At 37.0% G+C, this 27746-nt stretch overlaps 1 long non-coding RNA gene across 1 annotated transcript in view; it reads right to left on the minus strand.

Annotated features, from left to right (window-relative positions):
* Positions 1 to 27746, minus strand: part of LINC01339 (long intergenic non-protein coding RNA 1339) — a 131733-nt gene that overhangs the window by 81045 nt on the left and 22942 nt on the right. The window contains exons 2-3 of the long non-coding RNA NR_120601.1: positions 22285 to 22336; positions 21163 to 21203 (exon numbers count right to left, since the gene is read on the minus strand). This is a non-coding gene — a long non-coding RNA (long intergenic non-protein coding RNA 1339). The remainder of the gene's footprint in view (positions 1 to 21162; positions 21204 to 22284; positions 22337 to 27746) is intronic.

Below are 27746 nucleotides of genomic sequence, written 5' to 3' on the forward strand. Positions count from 1 at the left end.
TGGAACACAGCTGGATGGACAATGACTTTGACAAGTTGACAGAAGAACGATCGGTAATAACAAACTTCTCCGAGCTAAAGGAGGATGTTCTAACCCATCACAAAGAAGCTAAAAACCTTAAAAAAAGATTAGACGAATGGCTAACCAGAATAAACAGCATAGAGAAGACCTTAAATGGCCTGACTGAGCTGAAATCCATGGCACGAGAACTACGTGATGCATGCACAAACTTCAGTAGCTGGTTCGATCAATCAGTGATTGAAGATCAAATGAATGAAATGAAGCCAGAAGAGAAGTTTAGAGAAAAAAGAGTAAAAGAAACGAGCAAAGCCTCCAAGAAATATGGGACTATATGAAAAGACCAAATCTACGTCTCATTGGTATACCTGAAAGTGATGGGGAGAATGCAACCAACTTGGAAAACACTCTTCAGGATATTATCCAGGAGAACTTCCCCAACCTAGCAAATCAGGCCAACATTCAAATGTAGGAAATACAGAGAATGCCACAAAGATACTCCTTGAGAAGAGCAACTCCAAGACACATAACTGTCAGATTCACCAAAGTTAAAATGAAGGAAAAAATGTTAAGGGCAGCCAGAGAGAAAGGTCATGTTACCTACAAAGGGAAGCCCATCAGACTAACAGCAGATCTCTTGGCAGAAACTCTACAAGCCAGAAGAGAGTGGGGGCCAACATTCAACATTCTTGAAGAAAAGAATTTTCAACCCAGAATTTCATATCCAGCCAAATTAAGCTTCATAAGTGAATGAGAAGAAAATATTTTACAGACAAGCAAATGCTGAGATTTTGTCACCACCAGGCCTGCCTTACAATAGCTCCTGAAGGAAGCACTAAACATGGAAAGGAACAACTGGTACCAGCCACTGCAAAAACATGCCAAATGGTAAAGACCATCGATGCTAGGAATAAACTGCATCAACTAACGAGCAAAATAACCAGCTAGCATCATAATGACGGGATCAAATTCACACATAACAATACTAACCTTAAATGTAAATGGGCTAAATGCTCCAATTAAAAGACACAGACTGGCAAATTGGATAAAGAGTCAAGACCCATCAATGTGCTGTATTCAGGAGACCCATCTCAGGTGCAGAGACACACATAGGCTCAAAATAAAGGGATGGAGGAAGATCTACCAAGCAAATGGAAAACAAAAAAAGGCAGGGGTTGCAATCCTAGTCTCTGATAAACAGACTTTAAACCAACAAAGATCAAAAGAGACAAAGAATGCCATTACACAATGGTAAAGGGATCAATTCAACAAGAAAAGCTAACTATCCTAAATATATATGCACCCAATACAGGAGCACCCAGATTCATAAAGCAAGTCCTTAGAGACCTACAAAGAGACTTAGACTCCCACACAATAATAATGGGAGACTTTAACACCCCACTGTCAACATTAGACAGATGAACGAGACACAAAGTTAACAGGGATATCCAGGAATTGAACTCAGCTCTGCACCAAGTGGACCTAATAGACATCTACAGAACTCTGCACCCCAAATCAACAGAATATACATTCTTCTCAGCACCACATCGCACTATTCCAAATTGACCACATAGTTGGAAGTAAAGCACTCCTCAGCAAATGTAAAAGACCAGAAATTATAACAAACTGTCTCTCCGACCACAGTGCAATCAAACTAGCACTCAGGATTAGGAAACTCACTCAAAACTGCTCAACTACATGGAAACTGAACAACCTGCTCCTGAATGACTACTGGGTGCATAATGAAATGAAGGCAGAAATAAAGATGTTCTTTGAAACCAATGAGAACAAAGACACAACATACCAGAATCTCTGGGACACATTTAAAGCAGTGTGTAGAGGGAAATTTATAGCACTAAATGCCCACAAGAGAAAGCAGGAAATATCTAAAATTGACACCCTAACATCACAATTAAAAGAACTAGAGAAGGAAGAGCAAACACATTCAAAAGCTAGCAGAAGGCAAGAAATAACTAAGATCAGAGCAGAACTGAAGGAGACAGAGACACAAAAAATCAATGAATCCAGGAGCTGGTTTTTTGAAAAGATCAACAAAATTGATAGACTGCTAGCAAGACTAATAAAGAAGAAAAGAGAGAAGAATCAAATAGATGCAATAAAAAATGATAAAGGGGATATCACCACTGATCCCACAGAAATATAAACTGCCATCAGAATATATTATAAACAACTCTACGCAAATAATCTAGAAAATCTAGAAGAAATGGGTAAATTCCTGGACACAGACACCCTCCCAAGACTAAACCAGGAAGAAGTTGAATCCCTGAATAGACCAATAACAGGCTCTGAAATTGAGGCAATAATTAATAGCCTACCAACCAAAAAAAGTCCAGGACCAGACGGATTCACAGCCAAATTCTACCAGAGGTACAAAGAGGAGTTGGTACGATTCCTTCTGAGACTATTCCAATCAGTAGAAAAAGAGAGAATACTCCCTAACTCATTTTATGAGGCCAGCACCATCATGATTCCTGGCAGACACACAACAAAAAAAGAGAATTTTAGACCAATATCCCTGATGAACGTCGATGCAAAAATCCTCAATAAAATACTGGCAAACTGAATCCAGCAGCGCACCAAAAAGCTTATCCACCATGAACAAGTTGGCTTCATCCCTAGGATGCAAGGCTGGTTCAACATATGCAAATCAATAAACGTAATCCAGCATATAAACAGAACTAAAGACAAAAACCACATGATTATCTCAATACATGCAGAAAAGGCCTTTGACAAAATTCAACAGCCCTTCATGCTAAAAACTCTCCATAAACTAGGTATTGATGGAACATATCGCAAAATAATAAGAGCTATTTATGACAAACCCACAGTCAATATCATACTGAACGGGCAAAAGCTGGAAGCATTCCCTTTGAAAACTGGCATAAGACAGGGATGCCCTCTCTCACCACTCCTATTCAACATAGTGTTGGAAGTTCTGGTCAGGGCAATCAGGCAGGAGAAAGAAATAAAGGGTATTCAATTAGCAAAAGAGGAAGTCAAATTGTCCCTGTTTGCAGATGACATGATTGTATATTTAGAAAACCCCATCGTCCCAGCCCAAAATCTCCTTAAGCTGATAAGCAACTTCAGCAAAGTCTCAAGATACAAAATCAATGTTCAAAAATCACAAGCATTCTTATACACCAATAACAGACAAACAGAGAGCCAAATCATGAGTGAACTCCCATTCACAAATGCTTCAAAGAGAATAAAATACCTAGGAATACAACTTACAAGGAATGTGAAGGACCTCTTCAAGGAGAACTACAAACCACTGCTCAATGAAATAAAAGAGCACACAAACAAATGGAAGAACATTCCATGCTCCTGGATAGGAAGAATCAATATCATGAAAATGGCCATACCGCCCAAGGTAATTTATAAAGTCAATGCCATCCCCATCAAGCTACCAATGACTTTCTTCACAGAATTGGAAAAAACTACTTTAAAGTTCACATGGAACCAAAAAAGAGCCCACATTGCCAAGGCAATCCTAAACAGAAAGAACAAAGCTGGAGGCATCACACTACCTGACTTCAAACTATACTACAAGGCTACAGTAACCAAAGCATCATGGTACTGGTACCAAAACAGAGATATAGACCAATGGAACAGAACAGAGCCCTCAGAAATACTACCACACATCTACAACCATCTGATCTTTGACAAACCTGGCAAAAACAAGAAATGGGGGAAGGATTCCCTATTTAATAAATGGTGCTGGGAAAACTGGCTAGCCTTATGTAGAAAGCTGAAACTGGATCCCTTCCTTACACCTTATACAAAAAGTAATTCAAGATGGATTAAAGAGTTAAATGTTAGATCTAAAACCATAAAATCCCTAGAAGAAACCCTAGGCAATACCATTGAGGACATAGGCATGGGCAAGTACTTCATGACTAAAACACCAAAAGCAATGGCAACAAAAGCCAAAATTGACAAAGGGGATCTAATTAAACTAAAGAGCTTCTGCACAGCAAAAGAAACTACCATCAGAATGAACAGGCAACTTACAGAATGGGAGAAAATTTTTACAATCTACCCATCTGACAAAGGGCTAATATCCAGAATCTACAAATAACTTAAACAAATTTACAAGAAAAAAACAACCCCATCAAAAAGTGGGCGAAGGATATGAACAGACACTTCTCAAAAGAAGACATTTATACAGCCAACAGACACATGAAAAAAATGCTCATCATCACTGGCCATCAGAGAAATGCAAATCAAAACCACAATGAGATACCATCTCACACCAGTTAGAATGGCGATCATTAAAAAGTCAGGAAACAATGGGTGCTGGTGAGGATGTGGAGAAATAGGAACACTTTTACACTGTTGGTGGGACTGTAAACTAGTTCAACCATTGTGGAAGACAGTGTGGTGACTCCTCAAGGATCTAGAACTAGAAATACCATTTGATCCAGCCATCTGATTACTGGGTATATACCTAAAGGATTATAAATCATGCTGCTATAAAGACACGTGTGCACGTATGTTTATTGCAGCACTATTCACAATAGCAAACACCTGGAACCAACCCAAATGTCCATCAATGATAGACTGGATTAAGAAAATGTGGCACATATACACCATGGAATACTATGCAGCCATAAAAAAGGATGAGTTCATATCCTTTGTAGGGACATGGATATGTCCCTACATTCTGAGGAAACTATCCCAAGGACAGAAAAACAAACACCGCATGTTCTCACTCATAGGTGGGAACTGAACAATGGGAACACTTGGACACAGGATAGGGAACATCATACACTGGGGACTGTCTTGGGGTGGGAGGAGGGAGGAGGGATAGCATTAGGAGATATACCTAATGTAAATGACGAGTTAATAGGGGCAGCACACCATCATGGCACATGTATACATATGTAACAAACCTGCACGTTGTGCACATGTACCCTAGAACTTAAAGTATAATAAAAAAATTAATAAAAAATTAAAAGTTCAGTGTCAGGCCAAGTGCAGTGGCTCACGCCTGTAATCCCCTGCACTTTTGGAAGGCGAGGCATGTGGATCACTTGAGGTAGGGAGTTCAAGACCAGCCTGGCCAACATAATGAAACCCCATCTAAAAAAAAAAAAAAATTCAGCTCAAGAATCACTCTTGGCTTTCTCACTCTTTTCATCTGTCTCTTTTTACCTAGGTAATTTTGTTCAGTAATATTTCTCACCTACACCCATTTTGAGTCAGAATGAGTGAAAAGAAGATGCCGTTTTCTCTGTTTCCAATTTTGGATAAATTGCTAGTCTCCTTGCAAGTAGTAATCTTTACTCATCCAGTTGTCTTTCACAAATAGAGCAAAGCAGAATCTGCTTCTAAGTTAAACAAAAAGCAGAAATCATAATGTCAAATTATAATTGGCATATCCCAGACATAATCAATATTGCCTTTTGCAAGTTCCTCCCACAGCTAAAGCAAACCCTGGTTAGTGCTGGCCAAATCTTGACTAATTTGGCTTCAAGTTATTACCATACTTAATATCTCTGAATCAACACTGATGACTAAGATAAAGTGAACTACAAGAAATGATCAGTCTTCAATGTGAAAACTTTTTCACTTTGTGCCAACTATTACTGGTGCACCTGTTTTATGTTCAGAGTGGGAAGAGAATCAAAAAAGACGTGGCCAATTTTGAAAAAGATGCAATGTTTTCAATGTCTCAAAATAGCTCACATACATAGCATTGCTTCCACTGCTTATTCAAACTGTGAGGCTGATTGAGCATATGTATAATGCAGGCATGCAAATCAAAAAATTACCTACATTGCTCCCACCTTACTCTCTCAGGTTCCAGTTTCCTGTATAAGAATTGGTACTGCATCAAGTAGAGGCAGAAAGACATCAGCAGTTCAGGGAATTTTTATGAGAGGTACAAAAAGAAGTAATGTGAGAGGGCTTTAAGAATTTCTGATACTGCATTTGCAAGGGGCTCTAGAAATAATCTAGTCCGGCCCCTGTTTTTCAGATGGAGACCTCCACTATTAATTCAAGTAGATTGCACTGGATAAGCCAACATCATAGTACAATAAAGCCTCTGTCAACTGAATTACAGGAAATTAAGAAGAAATAAACTTTATATTAACTAGAGTCAGATGGATCCAAAATTGTGGTCCTAGAGCCATAACAGGGCTCGGAAATTTGTGATAAGAAGGCATTTTAAAGGATTATCGATGTTAATAAACCAATATCACTTGCCTGAGGAGCCCACACTGGGAAAGTGGAAATACGGAAAGGCATGTTCTAGATTCATTCTTTCTACCAATTTTGTGAAAGCCACTGACTCTCCTAGGGCTCAGGACAAAACATAGGCTTAGGTACGTGGGTGAAAACAGAGACTCTCATCTGGGAAGATCACGAATAGACTATGAGTGACTATGAGTTATGAGAGTCTGGCCAAGGATCAACCATTAAGGGATGGGCACGCTGCAATGAGACCAAGGATGATTCAAAACTGAGGAGAAATCCTCCAGGGGAAAAATATTCAGGGTTTTAATATATCCAAGAAATATAAGATGGAAAGTGACTAGAAATCCAGAAGGTAAGGATGCATATCCAAAGAATATTCTAAATATTATCTAGCAGAATAGTGGAGAATTTAATGATGTGACAATTCTTTGAAGGGTGAATGTACTTTACATTATACGGGTATTATTCTGTTGACTGAAATAGTCATTTCACTTAATCTTCCAAGGGTAACTTTTTAAAATTGATACAATACCATTTTAAATAATATACCAACATTTTCTAAAACGATTAGGTCACTGTTTTTGGCAATTGATTAATAAGCTCAATTTCAAATCAACTCATTGCAGTTTAACGCAAAAACAATTTTTAACTATTTGGTACAGGGCAATCAGAATACAATGGTGAACAGAACACAGGACCTGTTCTCATAGAATTTATAGTATGACAGTGAAAACATCTACTGAGCATCTAAAAACATGGTGAACACTAGGAAATGAATGCTATGAAAATCTCCTACAAGGGAAATTCAATCTAGTCTATGAAATCAGGAAATGTTTCCTTGGTAAATTATATATCAACTATGATTTGAAGAATTAGTATAAGTTAGCCAGGTGGAAATTTGAAAATGTGGGTAGTATTTTTGGCTATCACCCTGCCTTCTGGTCAACTGGCAATCACAGGAATGAATTCACCAACTAACTCACTGGATTGTGGAAAATAACATATCATTTTTGTTTGAGCCATTCTGTTTTGGGATATTTCATTATATAGCTTTCTCATGGCCTAGGCAAAGTACTGATAAGCTGAAAATGCTACTCCGATCAACCTGAGACACTACTGGTATTAAAGCCTGATTTTTTAATGCTTTCATAGACTAAAAACTATGAGTACCCAATACTGAATCAGGCACTTAATTATTTTGTTGACACAATGATGAAGGGTATTTATTATGAGCATTTAGTGGATGGGACCCAGAAATGCTAGACACCTTGCACCACCACAAATTATTCAGTATTCCTCTTGACTTGAGAATATCATGCTAGACGTTCATTAGATAATGAACTAGAGACTACAATTTAAGTCTTTTTTACATATAAACACAAAGTATGCTTTATGCAGTTTTGATATCCATAATATTCCAGGAATGCAATTACTGTGGAAAAGGACAGAAAATTGTATTCTATTTTGTTTGGAAGTTTACCCAAAGTTGTTCATTATTCTGGAAAACCACATCCCTGACAGCAACACCAGGTATGGTACTTGAGCTCTAGCATAAAACACCTGTATCAGTTTGCAGTTGTGCCATCAAATCCATAGGAATTCTTCAAATAGGGACATGCATCTGACTGTCTCACTATGTGTGAAACAATGTTTGCCAGAACATTCACATATGGAAATACATATCATTTTAATATTAATCTTTTCATTTAGTTTTCCTTTATATAACAGTGGTAGCATTATTGATTTTATGTTGTCTGTGGAGTTTATTTCAGGAAAGTGGAGGTAATGTTAGCAAATATATATTGGAAAAAGAAAATTTTGGCCGGGCACGGTGGCTCACACCTGTAATCCCAGCACTTTGGGAGGCCAAGGCGGGTGGATCACGAGGTCAGGAGATCAAGACCATCCTTACTAACATGGTGAAACCCCGTCTCTACTAAAAATACAAAAAATTAGCCAGGCATTGTGGTGGGCGCCTTCAGTCCCAGCTACTAGGGAGGCTGAGGCAGGAAAATGGCTTGAACCTGGGAGGCAGAGCTTGCAGTGAGCTGAGATCGGGCCACTGCACTCCAGCCTGGGCGACAGTGCGAGACTCTGTCTCAAAAAAAAAAGAAAAAAGAAAAAAAAAAAAGAAAATTTTGGCTCTGAGAAGATTGAGCCATAGCTCTGAAGGAAAAAATATATACACATTATAGGCCATCAAATTCTTATGAGCATTTTAAAGTGTTGGCATTTTTTAAAAAAGGTATTATTTTTGCATCCAATTGATTGCTTACCCATTCTTAGACAATTCCATTTGGTTTGAGATATGGGTTAAAATGTGTGATGTTTATGGCCAATATAAATGCATGTGCATGTCTTATAGGTTGGGTAAGTTCCTCAATAGTTCATCCCTTTTCTCCCCCCTCCCCAAGGCAAGAATCATTTGTACTAGTGCTCTTTGGGCACCAGCAAAGTCCAGTCTTTTTCAACCAATTGTTCTATAGAACATCAAAATTGTCTTTTTTGAAAAACTCAAGTATGAATCAGTAGCAGAACTCTCCTCTGCCCACACAGTTCTCTGAATTAACTTTTCTTGTTTTTCCTCATGTTTTCCGTCTTTACTCACTGTTTTAGCTGCTGATTATCCCTCTAAAATTCCAAGTGATATATTTCTTCTGTCTTGAATTTTCCACTTTTATATTTCTATTCTGCCTTCTACACTGCCACCTGAGTCTTCCAACCTTCTTTCTTGGTCACTAAATCTCAACTCAAGGAGCCTCTAAATCATTCACCTATTTCCTGATTTTTTGCCTCTTCCTACAAAAACACCTGTAAATATCAGCCCACATAAATTTCTGTTGAATTTTATTGTGTCAGATGCTTCCAGGAAAAAAAATATGCTTTTGCATAATCTTGAATTTTTGTGTGATTTGGCAAAGTTTTTACCTTCTTTTTGGCTTATTATACTAATATGTATATTGAGGTTAATTAAAAAATTAACTTCACAGAGTTGTGAGCATGAAATGAACTAACATAGGTTAAGCACTTAAAAGAGTGTTCATACACAGTAAGCACTATGTATTATTACCATTACACACAATTTTAGAAGTTATATTTTACTATATTTTAGTTCAATGTTTAAGTGCAATAATTTTAACTATACTTAGCAAAACACACTAATTCCCACTTAATTAGAAAATGTGCTGATTATACAAATATAAATATACACTATAAAATTCTAGAGAGCCCCAGGAGACACAAAGAATCTGGCCTATTTCCAAATGGAATCTGCTTCAACACAGCAGCCTTGCTGAGGCAGTCAAACGCAGTCACTAAGTATTAGACTAGGTAGACTCTGTGCTGGCTCCATTGACATTCACTGGAGTTTTGGCCCAACTAAGGTAGCATGAACCCTCCAATTTGGTGGCATCATCTGAAGTTCACTCCAGACTACAGGATGTGAAAAGCCATTTACTGTGCTTTCTGGAAATTTCAATCTCATGGGAAAATGATTTATTATCTAGGGAGTTATTCTGTGCATGCCATATTATTGTCGACTTTAAAGTCCACAGAAGGTAAGAAATCACTTTAAGGTCTTACCTGCATTAAAATTAACCAGGGTGCTTCACTTTTTTCTCTATCTCTCAAAGCTGTGTTTTAAATAGACAAGGGGGTGGTAAGGATACAGAAAATAAACTGAATTTATTTACTGTTCACAATAAACTGAACAGTCATGAACCTCATTTTACTAAAGCCACTGGCAAACTTCCTTAGTAATTGCCCACCCAACATCTCTTTCTTGACTGATAAGCTTATCCACTTTTGCAAATGTCCTAAATAGAATTCTCACTGTATGGCTGAGGTCCCTACATCATGTACAACACTTCATTCTGAGATTCTCAGAAAAGGAGCAGGTATGTCCCAAGCCCAGCTAAGACTGGCTGTGAACGTGGACACAGAGTGTGGAATGAAAAATACTGGAGACTCAGAGGGGTGAGGGGGGAAGGAGAATGTGGTGATGAGAAATTACTTAATGTGTACAATGTACATTATTTGGGTGATGGATACACAAAAAGCTCAAACTTCACCACTACACAATATATTCATGGAGCAAATTTGCATTTATACCCCTTACATTTATATAAATTCATATTTCCTTCTTATACCTTATATACATATAAATACATATTATATATAATATATGTATTATATAAATATATATATTATATATATATATATGGTATAAGAAGGAAATATGAACTCTGCAAAAGCAACAAGACATACATCCCCAGAAGAGAGATGGTTTAAGGAGGTGCTGTATCTCATGTTCCCAGTATGGGCACTGGGAGAAGCTTGGCCTTCAGCCGGGGCAGAGGATGAGAGGAAGAGGTATGGATTATTAACAACAGTAGAGTGACTAAGAAAGAGGTATTGGGAGCCACACAACAGTCATGGCTTTGGATAGCTGTCAGATAGGAGAAAGATGGTTTCTTGAGCTTTTGGAAAGGAAAGTTAGGCTTAAGCAGTAGAACAAAAAAGCATAAGGATTTAAAACACAATGAAGAAAAAATCTGTTCTTACATCCACCCTTCCTTTTTCTGTCGTCTCTTCCCTCTCAAGGCCTATTCTTACCCCTTACTCCAATAAGTCTTCTCTCTTTCTTACTATATCTCTTTTCCCTCAATGTCTCAATGTTTCTTATTTCTTCACTGGACATGATATACAATTGTATTTTTGTATGATTTATGACATTTATATGTATGTTTCTCAGAAAATATATTAAGCTGCTTGAGGGGTTTTTTTTGGGGGGGGGGTTAAGTCTTTTCTTTCTCTCTTTTTTTTTCTTGGCTGATGATTATTGGTTCCCCATAGAAAAAAAAAGTTACCCACCACTCTGAGTAGTTCCTTTGCTAAAGCAGTAAATTGTATGACATAATCACCAATGTTTTAAAAGGACATGCAATTTATCCGAAGAAGTTAGTTGATTGAAGATGTGAATTAATGTACAGAAAATTAGTCTTTTGGATGGTTCACTCAATCAGAGAGAGTTACAAAGTTGTAGAGGCAAAATGATTTCATTGACAAGTCAAAGATATTATCTCCATTTCTTCTAACTGGTTATTTTTTAAGAGAAAAAAAACTGATTTTGATCACACACGTACGTATGGGAGTTCACAAAAAAATGTAACTCAAAGGAGCAGTTAGAATTGGAACTTAAATACTATCTTATTAGATGAAGAAGGAGAGGGATAAGGGAATTATGGGAAAACAAATGACTCTTATGAAATCGAAATAGAGACTAGATTGGAAGATATGATAGTTTTTGTGATTGTGTCTCCTTGGGTGTAGTTTGGAGACATTGTCTTTGGTAATCAGAGTCAATCTTCCTCAGTTGTTCCAGGGGTGAGGATTTATGACAATTGAGGTATTTTGGGAAGCTCTACTTTTAGGCAGATAAAGAGATTTCAAGAACTCAAATGCCTTCAACTCAAAATAATTTTTATGCCTTATTGTTGTAGTCTGGACCCCTTCTCTAGGGTATTCATAGTACTTGCACTTCCTCCTTCCCAGGTGTAAGGAACATGATATTACCAATATAGTGGGCCAACATCATACTCTGCTCAATAATAGGATGATCAAGGACTCTTCAGACCATGACACAAAGCAGAAAAGGTAACTTAGTCCTTGAGTAAGACCTTGAATGTGAACCGCTGCCTGCGCCAAGGGAATACTCTGCTCCTTCTTCCGGATGAAAAGAATGCATTTGCCAAATAATAGCTACATAAAACTGCCAAAGACTAAGTTGATCTCTTCTAGTAAAGATTCCATATCACCCACAGCAGTTGAGATCAGCATTACCTCATGCTTAAGTGATGTTAGACCACTAACATTTGACACAATCCATCTGATTTTTGCAAAGACCTAACTGGTAAATTAAATGAAACTGTGATAGAGACCATCACCTTTAAGTCTCTGAGAGTGACACACTCTTCACCATTCTGCCTAGGATGTGGTACTACTTCCTATTTACCATCTTGGTTGGGCTTGAGGCAGTTTTAAGGACTTTCAGTTGTCCTCTCTTACCATAATGGCTCTTTGTTCATCGTCTAGAGCCTAATGTGGGTTTCTGTCAGTTACCAAGAATATTCATCTTGACTGTAGGTCAGAAAAATGACCACAGACTGGGTTTGTGGACCCACTGCAACCAGTGTGAAACAATTTGGGCCAGGACTTCATTTATCACCCAGCATTTGTATACCTCCACTCTATCAGGAGAGCCATAACCGTGTCTGAGCTGCCCTGGTGTCAGCGTTGGCTCAGATCTTGTATTTAACAGCACTCAAAAGCTCTGGCAGGTCACCCTTTTCTCAGGGTACAGTTGCTCTCACAAATTTTAGGATTGGATTGGAGGAAATTACACTGAATATACCAAAGGAAGAAATATACTTTTCTCAGGACCCAGGATCCCCTTCAGTTGATGGGCTTCAGTATGAGACATGGCTCCGTTCTAGAAACTGGGTGAAGGGTTATTATTTTCCATTGATATTAGCTCTGTTCACCCAAGCTTAATTTAATTTTGTGTGTAAGTGAAGCTATACTATTATTGCCTGCCTATCTACCTCACTCCCAAGAACAACATGGTCTATTAGCCATACCCATAGACCCCATAGACTTGAACATGTCATAAGATAATATTGCAACAAATTCAGTTCAAAGGTCTCAATTCGCTTTTATTTGTGATTCTAGAATTCTATTTTATAGAATGAGGTGTTCTCATGAGCTGAAGAGAGGAAAGCTTGACTTTATAGGCAGAAAGGGGCTGAGAAAAGCAGAAATAGAGAATAAAAAGCAAATTGGTCAATATGAAGTGGCTTTCCTTCTAAAAATTAAAGCAAAGAGGGCTTCCTTATCATGCCTGCTAAAACTGGCTTGTTACAGGGATTTGGCTATTGTTTCTCCTGATTTCTTGGAAGGCCAGATAGATGACTTAATTTTGACTTGATAACATAGAGTCTCAGCATTGGAAACTCTATGTTGGTTTGTTCTGTTGGGCCTAATGCAGGAGCTCAGTTCAGACTCATGACCTCTCATAAATTTTATTTAACAAACCTGAGCTAAAACCATAAAACCCCTACATGAAAACATGTAAATAAATCTTTGTAACCTTGTGTTAGGCAATGGCTCATTAAAATGAAAAAACTTTGGATAAATTAAATTTAATGGAGTTTAATTGAGCAAAGAACAATTCTCAAATAGAGCAGCCACCAGATTTGGAATAGGTTCACAGTGACACCAGGGCTGCCACATGGTCAGATAATATTTATAGACAGAAATGGGAAAGTGATATACAGAAAACAGAAGTGAAGTACAGAAACAACTGGATTGGTTACAACTCAGCATTTTCTTTATTTGACCTTGCTTTGAACAGTTGGCTGCCTGTGATTGGCTGAGACTATGTGATTGTACAACAGTAAGTAAGTTACAGTCATTTACACATCCAGTTAGATTACAGTTTACTATGTATGCAGAAACCTTTAGGCTGAACTTAAAATAGGTACAGAGATAGTTTTATGTTAAACTTAATTTGACAATTATCCTGTTTTGGTCAACATCTCAATTTTGCAGGATTGACTAAAACGTTAGGCATTGACATCACTTTGTCACCTTTGTAAATTGACTTATTTGGTCTCAAATCCCACTGGGAAATAGACAGAATTGTCAGTTTTGCAAGGTGGGAACAAGGAAACAGAACAATAGAAAAAAACTGATTGGTAACTTCAGGTTACTTTCTTGTAAGTGTTAGAACGGAGGAGACTTTCATATTATTATGGAGTCTCCTGCTTTTAGGAAGACCTACATGGTATTTTGAGATCTATATGCTTCCTTAAAGTTTCAGTTTGTTTACACTGCATTTAGCATGAGAGACTCCATTTTTGTTTGGTCTGGTCTATTGGGGCCTAGTGCAGGAGCTCAATCCAGAAAAATGGCCTCCCATAATTTTGTTTAACAATTCCTCTCTTTTGGTCACATTCTCACCTGAGAACGTGACCAAAACTTAAGGCTTTAGTGCTACTCTCAGTTACCATTTTGGGGAGCTGCCAGTCTCAATAAATCATTCACAGGCCACAGTGTCCTCATGGTCATGCATTTCTTTGAGTTTTTGTTATTCTGGTCAAAGAGAGACCATTTGACACTCTACGGATGGCTGCATGCAAACATTTAAAACATTTGAGAGAATACGGCACACCAGGGAGACTACTGTTATGACCACCAGGAGGATAATACCAAGACCAGCTGGTTATATTTTAAATAAATGTTTTCAAAAACATCTCTAATGTGCTTTTGTTATCCCCTATGCCTCACACCACTTCTTTAAAGATATTCATTAAATAATTAGAATGGTATTATTTCATGTTTGTATGGAGTATTACAGTTTACAAGATATTTTCATATTATAACATCTTACAATCACCACAAGTCCACAAGGCATGTAGGGGAATTATTTTTTATATGAATATTATAGATTAGGAAATTCAGACTCAGAATATATGACATCCCAATCATTTATATAGTTATGACTGGCAGAGCTAATATTCAAGGCAGGATCTCCCAACTCCAAGTTTAATGTGTTCCTCCTACACCACAGGACTTCTTTAGTTAGAACAACCCAACAAGGGGATTACAATTTGAACAAATGATTTACACCTATGCAAGAGATGAGGCCATGAGCTGAGAAAAAATGCAATATTTAGGTTGTATTCTTTGTTATTTAAAGTATAGGGGTCAAAAATAAGCAAGACAATTGCCCACTCTGCATTGTTTTGTTAAAAAGAAAAATCTAGAGTGTTACGTTCAGGTCGGTTCTCAATACCAATATTCAAGAGTTATGTCAACAGAATAAAAGCAGTGCTTCTACCAGAAGAGTAGAGAAAATATTAACGGTAAAGAGAAGTCAGGTAGATAAACCCTCCACTTCACACCACAGCATAACCAGATATATTAAGGGTAGCTGGCTGCAACCATACGATTTCAGTTTTTTAAAGCATGACCCTGTGTTAATAGCCTAAGTATCCTCAACTCTTCCACCCTTTTTGGGCTTCCCTCCCCTACATTTAATGATTTAAATTTTTAAAAATGATCTCATCTCACAAAATAGTGAATAGAAAATCCAATGTCAACCCCAACCCCAAACATCTTCAAGGATCTCTGTAGTATTATTGCTCTCTTGCTCACTCTCTTGACCCAGTTGTAAAATGTGGCCCTCTTTTTCATCATTTCTCTCCAAAATATTGATCATAAAAAGCACTACTAGATAAAACGCAGTGTGTGGAATAGATTTTAACTGCAGGTTAAGTGGAATGTGTATGAAGGTAGACGGGAATACACGGAAGCATCATGAAAAACAAAAAACTAAAAATGTAGTCCCAATATCCCTACTCCTTAACCGCTTTTGCCATTACCTTCACAGAGATTTCTTTTCCATAGTACATACTCTCTTTTCAGGCTCTGGCCTCTGGCCATCTCACTTCACCTCTTGCCTTCTGCTTTCTTTCTTCCCTATCACTTCTCCTTTACTCTCTCCCTCTTAGAAAGCTATTGAGAAAAAACACCTCACGCAGAGGACTCACCTTCCAGACCACATCCTGGGGCCTATCTTTTCACACTCAAATTGAACAATTGTTTGCTTCCCTAAGAAAATAAAATTATCTCCCAAAGAAGTGGGATGAAAACTTTTAGAATTACCTAATTTTCTCCCATCAAAGAAATCCTAATTTTTATCTTAGAAATTCCAGAATTTCTAGTAGAAATGTTATATTCTACTCTACAAAATACCCATCTTTGATGTAAAGTATTTTTTTAAGCAATGTATAATCAAGTAAAATTAATACTTTGAATACATTCACAGAGAAGAACTGAGACAAATAAATGGAAGTTATGGGATAGTAGTGATTTGCTCAAAAGAAGTTAAACTGCTCACTGGAGCTATCTGAGGTCTCATGAGCTAGAGGTATCCAAAACTGGAAATAGTCAAAAAGATATAGACAATGACCCATGGGACAGAGTCCCATGATTCTCAGAGACAATCACCCATTCTGTAAAGAGCTGGACTCAACAATGTCTAAGGTCCCTTCCAACCCTCAGAATCTGTTTTCCAAGTCTCAATCACTCAAGGCATGGGTCTTTGCACACTTGCAGTCCGTCCTGTGGTTTACAGGATAACTTCATTGTTTGGCTCAAAGTCTTTTCTACATCCAAATATTTATACTTAATATTCAAAGAATAACATCAAAGCACATTAAAAATTCCAATATAGAAACATTTAAGGAGCTGTTCACACCTCTAACCTGCTTTATTGATTTGTATTGCTGTGCATAAACAAGATACAGTTACATTAATTATTGATATACGGACTATTGATAAGAAAACACTTTCTTCTAAATATAATCTTTTCTAATTAGGTATGAGTTAAGAAGAGTTAAGGAGAAAAGAAAGACAACCTTCAAATATCAGCTGATTCACACACAAAAATAAATAATAAGCTCTGTGTAGAAATTGTATATTTGAGAATTCATGTTATAGAACCTTCAGTCTAGAGGAAAAATCATACACCTTAAAAAATGTTTTTCAAAAGTCTTCATGTTATTCAAAATTATATGGTGATTAGAGTATTGTCAGGTGAGACCAACAATTTAAATGAAATAAACACAGTTTTTGTTTCCTGACCCTGAAAATCAAGTGGAAGTTATGAAATCCAGAATATTTCATATGCATGTCCTTGGCAATACAATGTGAAAATGGTTGGGTATCCAAACTGCTTTGAATTTCAGATAGTTTTCTTATAACAAATTCAAGTTATCTTCAAGATTTTACAAGCCAACTTTTCTAGATATAGATTTATTTATTCAACCAGCCAACATTTACTAAGTATCTTCTAAGGACACAGAAAGCTATTTCTACTAATACCATGAAAAGCAGCAAACAACATTTATTACACACTTACTATGCACCAGGCACAGTTATCCATTTTACTTGCATTATATTTTTGTAATCAATAATCTATCATAATAGACACAGAAACCAAAGCTGGCCTTGATCACCTATTTGATTAATAGATCTGCACAACTCCAATGCTCCATTCTTAACCATTATTCTATATCCCCGACCTACACAAAAAGATGATCCAATAGAGACAACACAGTAAAATTCTTTGGTAGAGGCAAACATAGAATGCAAGAAAAAGCCCCTAACTCTACCTAGGAAGGTGGTAACTGAGTCAAAGACAGAGGTTATTTGAAGACTCATCAGGAAAGGTAATGTTTGATCTGAATCACAAGGAAAGACTTGGAGTTATCCAGAAGATTGAAGATAATGTGAAAAGTCCAGAGTCATGCAAGAGAAGAATATATATGAGAATCTGCATTTCAGGGTAGCTGAAATGGGAATCATGGGAGATTAAAATAAACAGGTAGGTGGGAGGCATCAGTCATTATTACAAACTTTGACTTGCCAATAAATTTGATTTATTTAAAGATAATAAAAATCACTGAAGAATCTTAAGCAGGGGAATTAAGTGATCAAATATATATATTTAAGAAAGATCATTTTACTTGTCTTCATTGGGCAATAGATATGGAGGAAAGAAGATGGACTCAAGACATAGGTGTAAGGGATCAGTCAGATGAGGAGAGGGAAACAGACAGAGGGACTGTAAGAATGTCCAGGTTTCTGGCCTAGACAACTGGGTTGATGGTAGTGCATTTACTGCAGTAATGAAGACAGTCGATGGAGCAACTACATGGTAAAATACATGTTCTGTTCTACTTTGGATTGTCGGGACCTAAATTGGAGATTTGAATCACTGTGAATTTCAAAGATCTAATCAAGATTCCTTAGCTTTTTACTCAGAGGCCAAACTCAGAAATCAAAAGAGTAGAAGAGTAGAAACAACAGCATTTTGTGTCTAAACTTTCATCCCTTTTAAACTTGGAGAACAAAGGGAAAGGGGAGGCAGAGAGACAAATACTCTGAGTTTGCTCTTTCCTCTCTCTCTCTCTCTCTCTCTCTCTCTCTTTATTTATCTCTCTGGGTTTATTTGCTGCTAGCAGAGGAAGAGGTATCTTACAGGTGGTAAAAATGATCAGCGCTTGTGAAGACTTGAGTGGATACTAGGGACATGTGATCCAGAATTCCTAGGTGAAAGCAGTCTGTAATAATGTTGGGGGCTTGTTTAAAGAGTCTACTTACTCAAGTGAGTATAACTGCCATATTCAAAGATAGCCAGAGCTTTGGACTCTGAATCTACTACCTTGACAATTGGATCCTTCTTTGTACTACAGATAATTTTCCTGTGATTTCTGTCATCCCCAACTTACAAACATTTTTGCTAATGCCTTGTCTGTCATCATCTTGTAGTTTGATGAGGTGTTTTTGGCCCATGTAAAATATCTGACTAATGGAAACAGAGCTACTGCTAGCACATACATAGAAGATAATCTCTCCTTCAGGCATGCCTATTACACAACAGCAACTCTTTGGAGAGTGAGTTATTAAATGTCCTGCTTGGGGTAGACAAACTAGCAAAAGGTGCCTCCTTCCTAGGGACTGATATAATTGTATGCCAGTGTATATGTTCCAGTCTCCAGCCAGCCAGTCAAGCCAGCATAAGCATGCATGGGGGTCTTCCATACAACACCCTACTTTATAATCTTTATAAACAAAGGAAATTCAATATTCCACATCCCCAATGCCATTGCATTGCATGACTCCAGGAGACACCAAGTGCGTGGAAAGGTTGTGATGGTCCCCCTGGAGTTGCGCTACGTGGAAGCCCTCCAGATATTCTATCCCATCCAATTATTATGTAATTTTGTGGGTAGTTACTGGGGTGGGAATTCTCTGACAAATGAGATTTTTTCCCAACCCTTTCCTACTACACATTGTTCAACAGGCCTCTGATCTAGTAATTTTAATTCTACCTCCAAATTCTATCTTGAATCTATGTCATTCTCTCCATCTCCATCTTCTATTCTGAGGCTCTATCCTCTCTCACCTAGACCAGGGTTCTCATGTGTCCATTATGCTCTCATCTCCAGTACATTTCTCACAGTGAGCTAGAATGATATTATTTAAACAGACCTCTGGTTATTTCACCCCTTCTTAAAAACCATCGATGGATATGCATTTCTCTTAAAGTAAAATCCTCAATCCTATGGCCAGCAAAGTCTCTGCATAGTCTTCTTCTGTGTTCCTCTCCAGCCTCATCTCCTATCACCCACTGTCTCACACTATCCTGCAGGCACATGTGCCTTCTTTCAGTTATTTAGGCTGCCAGACTCTTTCCTGTCTCAGAATATTTGCATGTGCTATTGTCTTTGTCTGAAATTCTCTTCCTCCCAACGTTTCATCAGGTTACCCCTGCTCATTCTTTGGGTTCTAACATTATTGCTACTTCCCCAGAGGAGTTTCTTGATCTAAATCAAGTCCCATAATGAGAAGTGGTAATCTCTCACCGTCTCCTGTGCTATGCTGAATACTAATCACAATGCATTATTTCTGTTATTTATTAACTGCCTCTCCCCAGGTTGTAAGCGCCACCAAGATGGGGGCTACGCCTGTTCTGTTGACCACTGGATCCTCTGTATCTAGCATGGTGCCTGCTATATTTGATGGATAACAGCGTAGGTAACAGGTTGAGAGAGCTGGGCTGAAGACATATTTTTAGTTCTTAGCAAGTAACAGACAGATAAAATTGCTGGAAAACATTAATAGTAAAAAGAAAAGATGGCCAAAGACAGAATTCTAGAGAACTCCCTCTGGGTAGACAGCCTATGCCAAAGCAAGTCAATTCCCAGCTACCCAGATGAAAAATAAAAATCTACGTGAAGATAATAGTAGTATGGATGGCAGTGGCATTGAAGGTAGCAGGGATGTTGGCAACAGCAATAAAGAGGAATTTTTATTTTCTACTTACCATTTGCTGCACAATTTCACTAACTTATTTTGATGTCAAACTTTATCACAGCTGAGTTCTGCCTTCTAAGCATATAAACTATAGAATATAAAATTTGCCTCTTTGAAAACCATAGGCAGTTTGACAATATATTTGAATTAATTAACCTCTTAACTCTGGTACAAGTCCATATTCACAAGTATGACAATGATTAAGTTAATGAGTTAATCATTCCCTTCTAGTTACAGTCTTTCTTAATTAGTTGATTTAAATTGGGGAGTGGGAGGAGGAAGGAGAAGAATCTTCTGTGGAGTCTATTTTCATAGTGCCAGATAAGATTTCTAAAGGCTTTTTTTTTGAAAGATGCAGAAATGTAGACATCTTTTCAATACTGTTTATAATTTTTTAAGCTACCAAGTCCTACTAAGCCGATTATCATATTTTAGCAAAAGAAATTGCTTGGCAAGTACTTCCTAAGTGCCTGCCCTGCTGTGACCATACCCTTAATTTGGGCCCTACAGGGAACATGGGGAGGGGAGAGATGTGGCATGGGCTTTCCAGGATTGTGAATTTGAAGTTTGCTAGTCATCTAACCAAAAATTAAGGGTGATGGACCATATCTCCAAGATCAGTTGCATTCTCTTACAGGGTTTTAGTTCATATGCAACACTTCTAGGTTTAAAAAAAAAAAGTGTCAAAATTTACTCGAATGTCACCATATGAATTAGACCAGGCCCTATAAATGTTCTATCATTACATTATGCAGACATTATTGAAATAATATTCTTAGTATTTTAGTATTTTCCTTTCTCATTTATGATTTTAAAAGCTCTCTCAAGTAACCTTAAATAAATGCTAGATGATAATCTCAAATTTCCACACTTCAATAATTTCTCTGTCAGTGCACTCATAAGTGCAACGATTTTAAAATGTCTTTTCTTCTCATACAGTATGCATAATTGGAATGGTGCAAACTCATTCTGTACCTTTGGAGCTCGAGAGGCTTTTTAATTTTACATCCCTGTGTCTGTAACAGAAAGAAGCAGAAAGGTGAGTGATTCGGTAAAAGAGAACTCAGTTAAAGAACTTAGAAGATGATACCAGAGACTTATTGAGGCTCGTAAGAGAAGTGATTCAAATACTCGACTTCCCTCCTTCTTCTACGCCCTTCTGCTTCCTAAATTATTTCTCATTCACACACTCTCTCACCTCACCCCCATTGCCTCTTCCTTACCTATGTCTTCACATCCTAAAATAAAAATCTTACTGGGGCCAGGCATGGTGGTTCATGCCTGTAATCCCAGCACTTTGGGCGGCCTTGGCAGGTGGATCACTTAAAGTCAGGAGCTCAAGACCAGCCTGGCCAACATGGTGAAACCCCGTCTCTACTAAAAATACAAAAATTAGCCAGGCATGGTGGCGGGGACCTGTTATCCCACCTACTCAGGAGGCTGAGGCAGGAGAATCATTTGAACTCGGGAGGCAGAGGTTGCAGTGAGCCAAGATTGCACCACTGCACCCTAGCCTGGGTGATAGAGCGAGATTCTGTCTAAAAAAAAAAAAAAAACTTACTGGGTTGAATTACTTTTTTCTTTCCACAATTTTGTAATCAAACTCAAAACATATTTCAATTTAAACATTTTCAGGAATTTTTTAAATCTGTGCATTATGCTCCAGGGCCCCAAATTAGTCAAAATTGGAACTTCATGATGCTATCATTTGGAAGCATAGAAAAGAGAAATTTTACTTAGAAGTATTCTTAGATATTATCTAATTCTTTATGAATTTTTATAAATTATTTTCACCTTACAAATTAATATTAAGGCCTTATTGAGAGTGAATTTTCATAATTCTCTCCAGTGAACTTAAGTTCATTGTAATAAAGAAAAAAAGTTTTGTAAGGGCAGGAATGTACTGAAAACTTCTTGAAAAAGGCCAGTAATTCTAGGACTTCCACATGAGTCTACAAAAAGGTCTCATCATTCGGTTTCTACTTGGCCCAAACATTAGCCTTGGAAATGGAAATAGGATCTCAGGATAGCTCTTAAGTCCCTGATAGGACCAGGGAGAAGAAAAAAGGAGTGGGGGAAAGGAACCTAGGCACTGACCTTGCAAATCATCCTGTCATTTACTTTCTGATTTAAATGTTTTTCACATATTCTGAAAAAGAAATATAAGAATTGTATATAAGAAATCAAGAATATAGTTCTGAAAGGTAAATACTATCTAGTGCTTTTCATTTTAATACAAAAAATTTTATAGTTTATACTTTTTATACTTATGTATTGTTATATTAATTCCTCATATTATTTCTGATGTTGTTTTTATACTTGATTGTAAGTGTCTTGAAGGCAGAGACCTTGGTGGAAGGCTTGTACATACTTCACAGGAATCACAGCGCACCAAGAACATATGTACTTGTATGTTAAGATAAAATAAAATCGTTACTTAAATTTTTAGTGCCATAGAGGGAAATTAAATAATTCATATTGACTTGGGGGGATTAACTTTACCTATATTTCAGCAAATAATTTGAACATGTGTTGAGAATCTTCTCTGATAACTTTACTCAAGTGTTTCTTATTTATCTGTAATTTTAAAAACTAAAAATAACAGAGTATAATTCCAGTCTAACTTTGTGTATGTAGATGTATATATACACATGTATATACATATATACACATTATATGTATATATATGTGCATATATATGAGGGAATGTGTATATATGTATATATATGCGCATATATACATATATACACATTCCATCATATATATATATACACACTCTTATATATGAGAATATATGAGAGAATGTGTATATATGTGCGTGTGTGTGTGTGTGTGTGTGTGTGTGTGTGTGTGTGTATATATATATATATATATATATACGTATGTATGCATGTATATGTATAGGAATGGAGGGAAAGAGTTACGTCTAAGCACCTGAGCAGCCATTTGGCTGAAGAGGACTACAGCCAGTGTGGCTTCTTGAACTTAAGATCATACACTTAATCAGTGCCTGGCTTAACCCTTAATAAGTCAAATCTTTATTGATTTGCAGCCTCACTATCTCAGAGTGTGCTGTGAGTGGATACAGTAGCTGGCAAGTGGGAGAACTAAGAGTGGAAAAGGTGGCTTCACTGGGAAACAGGTCACCACGGAGCTTTCCTCATCATGGTGCATACAAGGGAATATACCCCTTCAGGAAAGCAACAGTAGCAAAACAGAGAAGAGTAGCATAATGCATTCAATATGATCAGACAAAGAAAAATAAGTCCGCAACAAATAAGAACACATAACTCATGAACCTGACTAGCACAGAACAAAGAAATAATTTAACCACAGTAAGTCTAGCAGATCAATATAAGCAATCAACATTTAGACTAAAATGGGTATTTTTCACACTGGTTTATGCAGTTTGACTGATTTCACAATCTAAATCAATTGGTTTAAGCAGATTGATCAATTTCACCACCTTAATTCTTTCCAAATGGATGTAGCTTAAGAATACTATAAGAATATTAAAAATTATGTACACAAGGTCATTTCATAGATAACTGAATGAAAATGAAATTTCTACCCTAAGATAGTATGATTAAAATCATGTGGGTAGTGGCAGAAATTGTGTACATAAAGACTGCTCTAAACATATGATACCTTAGCTGCGTATCTGGTTCTTTAAAGCTGTCCCCAGGCAACCTTACTGTAGAAAGTTTAGGGGCAAGTTATCAGTGACGCATGGAGGACTCTCTGGGCTAGGAAGGGACTTTCAGGCCACAGTGTTCTCACAAGTTCTAAGAAGTCATTCACAGTGAGAGGGACCACATTCGAAGAGGATTGACAGTTTAGACTGAAAACAGCTTTCAAAGAGACTAATCTTATAAAGTATTGCAAATGAATAAGGGCAACAGGAGTAGGTGTTCACCTGCCAGTCTCCGCCGTGCAAGATGAGAGCCTGTCTGTACGCACACATGCGCTGACTTAAAAAAAAATCATATAAAAAACAACATCTTTGCTACGGAGTCGTTTTTAACAAGTATTACAGAAAGAGCACCAGCTACCAAAAAGAGTTGCCAGGGCCAGAAGGAGCCATCAATCGAAACAGTTTACATTTCAAAGTTTTTCCAAGAAGAGTGAAAACGTCTCCTCTCCTTGATGGAAAACGGAGGAGCTGTAGTAAAGAATCTATTTGCTGCCTTCCCAGTCAAGTTTCTTTCTCTAGAGTGGCCCTTTAACCCTTAGGTTGAGGCCAACAGGTAGAGATAAAAAGGAATGTTTGCATCTTCTGCTTGTGCTCTGAGCAGCTTACTAGGCTGTAGAGTCAGGATAAAAAATCCTCTTTCTTTTGTGAGTTTCATTGTTCAGAAATGAGTCTTTTTGCTCTTGGGCACTACTGGAGATAAACAGGTCATTTTGACTTTTACACTCTGTACTTCCTGACATCACTAACAATTATACACATCAGTCTTGGAATGTGTTTTTCTCCTCAAAGTATTTCAGGAATTGACTCTTTCTTTTCTCCGCTTCATTTACAACCTAGGAAATTAATGCTAACCATGCTACATTTTAACCAGAATGTATATTTGTTTATCTCTTTTAAAATTTTTTATTTGAAAGAAAAAAATTTGGCCCTAGGTGAAAAAGCATTTCTTAAAATCAGGAACAGTTTTCTATAAGATGTATAATCCAGATGTATACTTTTGTTTTTAGCTTTTAATTTTCTGCTTAATTTTTGCCTTATTTCTAAACACCAAATTTGATTTCCTGAATCCATTAGGATAAATTCTACATACCTCATTCTTACTTCTAGAAGCATGTCAAATGGAAGCACTAATCTAAGAAAAAAATTTGATTTCACAATTAAGACTTGGGAAAGAAAACAACAACAGACACTGGGACCCCTTTGTCATGAACTTGTCCCATAAAAATAGTTATTTGCGCTTCTCCCTCCCCTTACTCCAATAATCCCATCACTGGATTCTTTGTTACCCCATCTCTTTGACCAACAGGCAGTTTGTAGAACCATAATGAAGACTCTGCATCCCTGATGATCATTTTTTCAGATTGCAATGTGACTAGAAAAGGAAAAAAATGAAAGGACCCCCTTCTATTTTTGCACACACATATAAATGCTGTTCATTACGGTTACAAAAATTACAGTCACTTTCTTAGATTGATTTATTGATATAAATGACATGATATCACTGAAAAAATATTGCCAATTTACATATAACATCCTTTATAAATACCATTGGTTCTCAGTGAACTCCTCCTGACCTCCTGGTCTGAGACTGTCTCTATGTGATGTACATAATTCTCTCAACACTGATCCATTACTTCTTCTCAGTGTTGGGGGTTAGGCCAATAGTGTAAAGTCACAGATAATTAGCAGCCCTATCAATAACCAGTTACAGAATTTCTGCCTAAGTGACAGGCCAGAAAAGCCAAAAAAGGAGGTAGCAATATAAAGTAGAAGGGAAGTGCCGATATATTTTGTGGTTCAAGCAGCTGCTATGGACTATCAGCATCACCAGGAGACCTCACTGCATTAGCATAAATTCAAATGACAAATGCACAGTGCTATTCAGAGACTCATTAATTTGCAATGGGTGCAGTGCTCATGACATATTAGTGCAAAATTCAAATGTCTTTGTAGCAATGTGAATTTAGTTGTGAGACCAAAGTCGCTAAAATGAAAATGTGTGGTTTTTTTAGCAGTTTATTAAATTATGAACTGTGATGACTATATCCGTGCATCTTTTTAAGCAGATGAGGTCCAGCGTGCTCCAGCGGCAAATCGCATGGTTTGTGTTGATATTTTCCTGTCAGACAATTTCCCAAGCAGCAGATAAGATACCAGACTGTCTGCCTTGCTCCGCTGCATGCGGACTGAGAGCTCCCCCTTCTGGACAAATGACATTGCCACTCTAAAAGAAAACCCAGCCATTTTTTGTCTTGTTTTCATATTTTTAAAAGGTTTTCAGGCAAAGAATTTCGGTGTCCACCTAAAGCCAAAAGAAAACAATTTGCAATTATTTATTATAAGTGACAGTACATGATAACTGTCTTCAAAATACTGAAGAGTCACCCTCAATTGAAATGCATCATATAATTTTATATGAAGCTTCTTCAAGACCTCACTTGCAAATATATTTTTTAAAATAGCTGCCTGATTTATATAAACCAAGAATATAAGCTACAAAAATAATAAAAACTATCATATTCATATTGCTTCCACAATATCATAAACAAGCTTACAATTACTAGCATTCTATTGTATAAGAAAAAAGCAAGAACATACACGGCTAGAGGCTTTTAAACAAAGCAACCAAGTGTATATTGTATTCAACTCTATTGAATGAAATTATGAACAGACCCAGACAAGGAAAGTCAGATCATACCCATGTCACATGTGTGTGGTGTGTTGTGTGTGCATTTTTCTCTTTAACATCAGGAATCTTCTGTCCAGTTACTTCACATTAGTCAAAGCAGATTTATCATTGGTGTGTCTTTTAAAAATTGGCATGTTTTTTACATTTAAATAATGACTCAGATTAGTACAATAATGGGATGAAGAAGGTTAATTTGTCTGCAGTATTAACATTACAAAAATACACAAGATGTCAGCACCTGCACTTCTCAGTACCCAGGGTTCATAGCCACTTAGAGCAGACCTGCATCCCAGTTTATATGATCTAAATATTCATGTTCACATCTAATACTAACAAAAACATACATATAGCATTTTTCAGTAAAGCTATAGCTTCCCAAACCATGTAACATACCTCTGAATGAATTGAAAAACATGTTGCACTTCGAAAGTTACTTTTAGGAGAATAGAAAATCTTACAGTAAAAGATTTGCCCTTTGGCCATTTGAGCCAACTAATCTCCATCAGAGTACTAGAAGTGTGTTTCAGCAGATCTTTAGTAAAATTTATGTTTATCATTTTTTAACTTTAAATATGTTACTGAATGTAAAAAGGGGTCACATCACTCTATTACTGCTTATAGACTTAATTACATACTTTCTGAGCATTATTTCGGCTTATGATGAATTTGGGAGGAAGGTCTTCTAATGAAAGTTGTGTACTTTTGAATTACACTTTATAATATCACTGATGCTTTATATCATCTTCAGCAATTAAAAGTAAGATCACTGTTATCTATTCTACTTATTTGCAATTGAAGTGGTCTTGAGTTATTTAGCAGGCTCATTTTATTTTACAGTAACAGCTACAAGGAAGACACAGAATTAATGAGGATTGAGAAGGATCACTGTACTGTACATTAAACATGTGGAAGTTGTATATAACTGAGCAATATCAGATTTATCACTGTAGCCAGATGTCTAGGCATTGTTTTTCCCTAATGAATTTTCTTTCACCAAGTAATTAGAATCCCAGATTTACAGAATGTTAGAACTGGAAGAGCCATTGTTGATCATCTCCCACTTTATGGATGGGAGAACCAAAGGTTCAGAAAAGTTAAGTGAATTTACCAAGACCTAATGGTTAGAAAATGGCAGAACTGAAACAAGAACCCTGCTCTCTAGACATCCTTTCCCAA

Source organism: Homo sapiens, chromosome 5 (assembly GCF_000001405.40).
Source record: "Homo sapiens chromosome 5, GRCh38.p14 Primary Assembly".
Classification (NCBI taxonomy): Eukaryota; Metazoa; Chordata; class Mammalia; order Primates; family Hominidae; genus Homo; species Homo sapiens.